At 55.0% G+C, this 6,371-nt stretch overlaps 4 annotated features.

The window, feature by feature from the left end:
* Positions 3,458-3,958: an enhancer, noted in NCBI's record as "H3K4me1 hESC enhancer chr11:68974538-68975038 (GRCh37/hg19 assembly coordinates)". NCBI's record gives its function as "activates a minimal SCP1, AML or CMV promoter by ChIP-STARR-seq in naive H9 embryonic stem cells {active_cell/tissue: H9 hESC(naive)}" and the evidence as "EXISTENCE:reporter gene assay evidence [ECO:0000049][PMID:30033119]".
* Positions 3,959-4,459: an enhancer, noted in NCBI's record as "H3K4me1 hESC enhancer chr11:68975039-68975539 (GRCh37/hg19 assembly coordinates)". NCBI's record gives its function as "activates a minimal SCP1, AML or CMV promoter by ChIP-STARR-seq in naive H9 embryonic stem cells {active_cell/tissue: H9 hESC(naive)}" and the evidence as "EXISTENCE:reporter gene assay evidence [ECO:0000049][PMID:30033119]".
* Positions 4,841-5,342: an enhancer, noted in NCBI's record as "H3K4me1 hESC enhancer chr11:68975921-68976422 (GRCh37/hg19 assembly coordinates)". NCBI's record gives its function as "activates a minimal SCP1, AML or CMV promoter by ChIP-STARR-seq in primed H9 embryonic stem cells {active_cell/tissue: H9 hESC(primed)}" and the evidence as "EXISTENCE:reporter gene assay evidence [ECO:0000049][PMID:30033119]".
* Positions 5,343-5,842: an enhancer, noted in NCBI's record as "H3K4me1 hESC enhancer chr11:68976423-68976922 (GRCh37/hg19 assembly coordinates)". NCBI's record gives its function as "activates a minimal SCP1, AML or CMV promoter by ChIP-STARR-seq in primed H9 embryonic stem cells {active_cell/tissue: H9 hESC(primed)}" and the evidence as "EXISTENCE:reporter gene assay evidence [ECO:0000049][PMID:30033119]".

Consider the following 6,371-nt stretch of genomic DNA (forward strand, 5'->3'; position numbering starts at 1 on the left):
TTCCAAAATAGACGATTCTGATGATTCACGCGAGTCTGATGTTAGTTCTGTTTAGAAATGACTCCAAGAACAGTTTTTATGTTTTATTTTCTCATTGAAAAGCAGTCAGATTTGCTTCAGCCTCAAGAAGTGTGTTTATGTAAAATTAAATGAGTGCTGGCTTCGAGCCGCACTTTTTTTTCCCCCTAAACAAGAAAAGGGTTAAAACTGGAAGAACCTTAGAAATGACCCCTCAATGCACAGATGCTGACACAGAGGCCCAGAAAGAAGGGTGTTTTTGGGGTCCCTGGGAAGCTGGGGCTCTGCTGCCCTCAGGACATGGAGCGGGAATACTCAGCCCAGGGCACCCTGGCCTTTTCTCTCTGGGCTCCCGGGTGAGTGTTCAGGACAGCAGCCAGGTCATGACTGATGATTTTCTAGGGACCTCTACTTTGCTCATTTAGAATCACTGTGACCCTATGGGGTGGGGGGCACCGGAGATGTTTGTTCCGTTTTACAGTCAGTAAAACTGAGGCCCAGAAGGAGCCAGGATGTGCTCGAGGTTGCACCTGAGGCCAGGGCACAGCAGTGTCCAGGGTTCTTTTAGAAACGTTGCCCTTGGTCTGAGTCCTAGGCGCGTGGGTCCAAAGGGATCTCAGGTGGGAGGATGGTGCTGGGGGGTGGGGCCCACCCAGCACCTCTCAGGGAGGCCCGGACTCATGGCTGCCCGGGGCTGGGTGGAGGAGCTCTGTTCCTCTGGGTCTGTGCAGGCAGGAGCAGAGGTCATCTCCTCCCTGAGTGAACAGGCCTTGACGGTTGTGTCATGGGGCCCCGTTGGGGGGACACTGTTTAATCTGACTGGCATGAGTAGATTTCAACGGGTCCAAGTCTGACTGCTGTGGGGTGCCTGGGAGCGGGGCTGGGTGTGCACGGCGGAGGCCCCAGATACCATCCTGCCTGGAGATGCAAGGTGGGAAGGTGTGGCAGAGTCCTCATGGCCTTGGCGGGCTCGGGTGGCAGGGGGGACCTCCATCTCCACCCTGCTCTGTTTGACCTGGGCTGCTTACTGGAGGGTGGAGGGAGAGCAGCAGGGCCTTGGAGGGACTTAGTGAATGACCAGCAGAAGGAGTGGCTTCCGATGGCACAGGCGTCCAGGGCAGATGGTTCCGGCCCGCTTACGGTGGGTGAGACACGCAGAGGAAATACCCTCAGAGCTAAACCCTGGCTCCTGGGTCAGCCACGGAGTTTCTTCAAGCCCCAGCTTCTGTATCTGGAAAGGGGGTGAGGAGATGACCTTTCTTGAGTAAGTCAGTGCTGGAGAAGCTGTTCGTGTTCGCTGAGGGTCAGCTTTTGTCGGCGCAAGAATCAGACCTGGCCATGTTGCGGGGCACTCACTCAGCCAGTCTGGTTGGGAAACCTGCCTTGACCTTGGCTGGAGCGAACCCCTCTCCCAGACAGTGATTCATCGGGGGATGTGGTGTTGAGGAAGGGGTGGTGAACACGTGCTATTGAAGGGACGCTGTTTTTCTCCCCCCGCCCCCGGGGTTTCGTCACTGGCCTGGGAAAAGGCTGAATTTGGAGCCCTGTGGGCCGTGCACTTGGTGAGGACTGGTGGGTGGGGTGTGTCCCGGCTGCCAAGGGAGGAAGGCACACCGTCCTCTTTTCCTCTTTTCCTGAGGCCTCGTGGTGGTCATGACAGTAGCAGGGCCGATGACAGCTCACACGGCCAGCAGTGTGGGCTCCTCACTCAAAGCTCAAACATGAGGCACAGGCGAGCTTGGTCACCTGGCAACTTGCTCAGGGTCACATGTCTGCTCAGCCATGGCCGGGACTCCAATCTGCCTCGCGTCCTCTCCTGCTCCTTCTGGGCCACGCTGCGCAGGGAGAAGGACCCCGGCTGGGTGGAAGCCCTTGGACTCCCTGCCTCAGTTTACCCATCATGTCTTTTGACCTAACCATAGCGACCTTTGGCGCTTATGTATAAAGCTCGCTCTCTTGGCTGCGTCACCAGGCCTGGGTTCCAGAGAGCCCTCCCTCCCCATGGGCCCAAGGAAGGGCCTGGAGTGAGGTGGCCAGCCGCAGCTTGGCTGGGATGGTATGGTGGTCCATAAGGCCTCGTGGGCTGTCCAGCTCCAGCCAGCCAGCCTCGGTGAAGCCAGCCGACTTGGCGGCAGTCTCCAGCACTTTGAGACGTTTGTCCCCCTCCTGCCCCCGTCCAGCTATGACAAGTGGGCTTTCAGTAGATATGACAGCCTCTGGTGGGGGGTCCCTGGCCCCTGTCCATGTCTCTACACTTGACTTGCTCGGAGTTCACTGGCCCGAAATAATGTTCCCAATGCAAGTCGGCGGACGGAACATTCGGAGTGGACGGTTTGCTTCCCCCCCACTTTTTAATACATTAAACATGCGTTACTGGAGTTCTACCCGATTCCTCTGACAGCTGTGAAAAAATAAAGAAAATTCAGTTTGAACTTAAAAAGCTCGGGCTTAATTTATGTCCCGCACCTTTGTCTGCTGGGTCCTTTTTCCTCTTCCGATGGAAAGGCCCCAGGGAGCGGGCGACAGAGGCTCGGCCACCCCACGTGGCCCCTCAGTGCCCGGGCCTTAATAGGGGCGCCCAGTGGCCAACACGGAGGGGAGTTTTCAGATGGAAATCGGACAAAACAATGCAATCATCTGTCTCGCAATCTGTTTTGAAGGGGAAAGAAAGAGCGGGCAGAGAGGAGAGAGTCGTTTTCTACTAGGGGAGGCTTCATTCAGAGAGTTTTATAGGAGAAGACAGATGTCATGAATACTGATGTGGAGAGCCTGGGTCTGGCAGAGTTTTTTTAATTTTCTGAGTTGTAAAGACAAAGTGTTTTAATAACACAGGGAAACACATGTTGATGGGTGGGTCTTTAGCTCATTCTGATTTCTCTAACTCCCTCTCTTTCTCCTCCTTTCTTTCCGTCTTTCTGCCTGCCTGCCTGCCTGCCTGCCTGCCTGCCTGCCTTCCTTCCTTCCTTCCTTCCTTCCTTCCTTCCTTCCTTCCTTCCTTCCTTCCTTCCTTCCTTCCTCCCTCCCTCCCTCCCTCCCTCCCTCCCTTCCTTCCTTTTTTTGAGACAGGGTCTCGCTCTGTGGTCCAGGCTGGAGTGCAGGGGTGCAATCTCTGTTCACTGCAACCTCTGCCTCCTGGGTTCCAGCGATTCTCTTGCCACAGCCTCCTGAGTAGCTGGGACCACAGGCGCCCATCGTCACGCCCAGCTAATTTTTTTGTAGTTTTAGTAGAGATGGAGTTTTGCCATTTTGCCCAGGCCGGTAACAAACTCCTGGCCTCAAGTGATCCACACACCTCGGCCTCCCAAAGTGTTGAGATTACAGGTGTGAGTCACCATGCCCGGCCTCTCCTTTTTTCTTCTTCTTTCTTTCCTTTCTCCTCCTTTTCCTTTTATCACCCTGTCTCCCTCTGTCTGTCTCTTTCTCCCTGTTTCTTCTCTTGGCCTGTTATGGGGTTCGGGAGCCACACAAAACATTTCCTTCTGTGCCCTTTCACGGCCCACCTTCCTGGTTGAGAGAAGGAATCTGCTCTTCTGAAGCACTGTGCTTCCATCTGAATGGCACAGCATTTCCGAGTTTGGGGACAGAATGTATTGAGCTAAAAGAGGTGTTTGCTCATGCACTCACTCTACAATGGGGGCGGGAAAAACAGGTGAATCAAGTGTGGGGCCTGCCTGTCCGTCAGGAGCTGCTGGTCAGACAAATATGAACGTGGACACAACCTGCTGGGAGGCGTCTCTGCTTTTGGCTCTCTGGGCAGTGGGGCACGTGTGCCCATAAGGCAGGTGCTGTCCCTGGTCTTGGAACTTCTTATGAAACCAGCCTGCCCGGCACCTCCTGCCATCCCTGTGAGGTGATGGGACAGGTGCTAAGCCTGCCCTTGGACAGATAAGAAAACTGCAGCCCCAGGCACAGAGGCACAAGCTGAGAGGTGACGTCAGGACTGAACTGTGAGCCTGGGAGTCCAAATCTAGGCTCACCCAGTCTTTCTGGCTCCAGTGAGGGCCCGCCACTGTCATCCGACGGATGGCATGTGTGATTTTTGGCACACGCCTGTGCAGGTGACTCCCACAGGTGCCCCGGAGGGAGGCGCTGCTGTGATGTTCATGCTACATGCAGGAAACAGAGAGGTTGAGTGACTTGCCCACAGCCCCACAGCTCCTACCTAGTGAAGCCTGGTTTGAGGCCACACCTGCCTTACTAGTTTTATTATTTATTTATTTTTTGAGACTGAGTTTCACTCTGCTGCCCAGGCTGGAGTGCAGTGGCGCAGTCTCGGCTCACTGCAGCCTCCGCCTCCGGGGTTCAAGAGATTCTGCTGCCTCAGCCTCCAGAGTAGCTGGGACTACAGGCGCCAGCCACCACACCCAGCTAATTTTTTGTGTTTTTAATAGAGACGGGGTTTCACCATGTTGACCAGGCTGGTCTTGAACTCCTGACCTCTGGTGATCTGCCTGCCTTGGCCTCCCAAAGTGCTAAGATTACCTGTGTGGGCCATCATGACCAGCCACTATTATTTTTTAAATTGTGGTAAAATATAACATAATATTTATCATTCTAGCCAGTTGTGAGTGTACAACTCTGTGGCATTTCATCCATTCATGATGAGGTATAGCCACTGCTGCTCCCTATACCCAAACATTTCCAGAGTCCTCAGCAAAACCTGGGTACCCATTAAACAGCAACTCCTCCCAGCCCCTGGTAACCTCTGTTCTTCTTTCTGTGTCTGTGGATTTGACTTCTCTGGGCACCTCATGTGAGCGGAATTGTACGGCATGTGTGTCTTCATGTCTGGCTTATCTCACCCAGCAAATGTCGTCTAGCTTCATCTGTGTTGTAGTGTGTGTCTGAGCTTCCTTCCTTCTTAAGGCTCAATACTATTCCAATGTGTGAAGAGACCACATTTCGTTTATCTGTTCATCTGTTTGGTGACTGAGCTCCCTCCATGCTCTCCAACAATAATCATGCTCCTCCACAGACAGGTGTCTTGGCTGATGGTGTCAGAGACCCCCTGGCAAGCCGCTGCTATGGGAGGGGTCTTCTCCCTCTCATGCCACCCAAGGAGACTCTGTGGGGTCCCTGCAGACCCCGCAGCATGGTCAGGGGCTCTGACTGGAGGCTGTTCCCTCCAACAGGACTCAGCAGTCAGGGTCTCCCAGGGAACCCCTGTATGCAGACTCTGGGAAGACAGGTGGATCAGGTGTGGGGACTGTCTGTCCCTCAGGAGCTGCTGGTTGAATGAATGCGACTGTCTCCTGCTGGGACACGCCTCTGCCTCAGGCTCTGGGCAGTGGGGGACGTGTGCCCCTAAAGAAGGTACAACCCCCGGTCTTGGTGCCTGGAGTCATAAGATCCATAGACACAGGGCAAGAGGGGCTTCCTGGGCACCCGCCGTGTGCAGGCTCTGCGTGAGGCACAGGGTTCGGGACTCAGTGGTGAATAAACTGCCATCCCCTTGTGGGGAAGAAGGGCAGGTGCACCTAGCTTACGCGTTCACTTGACAAGCAAGTATTGAGTGCCTTCTGTATACAGGTCTGCAGCTGGTGCTGGGGGCCGGCCTTTGGATCTGGTGTCCACCCCCTGACCTGGGCCCAGGCCCTCCCCATCGTCCTCTGCCGTAGGAGGTATCAGAGAGCAAGTACCTTCCTTAGTCACACCCATCACGTACATAGTGGATGTGCCTCTTTTTCGGGGCAGGGGGTAATCTTAATCACCAAGCAATTACTAAATGCCGACCATGTTCTCAGGCTTGGCAGAGGTGGGTGCTTGTTACCCCAAGGGACAACCACTTCCCTCCATGCTCCCCACCCCACCCAAGACCCTTCTCCACTCCACTCCTGACTGCCGCCTCCCACCTCTGCCCTGGGTCGCTGTCTTTATTGTCTTCCTCAACATCTTCCATGGGAAAGGCCAATGGCTTGAAACAGGATTGACGAGACACCCGGGGCCTGCTCCACACCCGTGGGCTCCTGGGCGTGCACCCAAGAGCCTCCACCCCTGAATGGCTGGCATCCAGGTGGGCTTCCCATAAGGAGCCCCCTTCTGCGGGCCTGGGAGGGTGGGGAGCCTGTGGCGAGGTGGCGGGGAAGAGAAAGGGCACAGGTGCCCCCTCACTCCGAGCCTATCGGATCCCGGAGACTTGCAGGCTATAGACCTAGAGGTCCAGCCAGGAGGGCTGGCAGGGACCATGAAGCAGGAGACGTCAGGGCAGAGAGAATGCCTTTTAGAGCCAGATAAATTCTTACTTCCCCTTTCCCAGCTGCGTGACCCTGGGAAACTTCAACACTCCGTGTCTCAGTCCTCTCATCTGTAAAATGAATCTGATGAGAACTGTGTAAGAATAGAGGTGTGTGGAG

The sequence above is a fragment of the Homo sapiens genome, chromosome 11 (assembly GCF_000001405.40).
Source record: "Homo sapiens chromosome 11, GRCh38.p14 Primary Assembly".
In the NCBI taxonomy this organism is placed as follows: domain Eukaryota; kingdom Metazoa; phylum Chordata; class Mammalia; order Primates; family Hominidae; genus Homo; species Homo sapiens.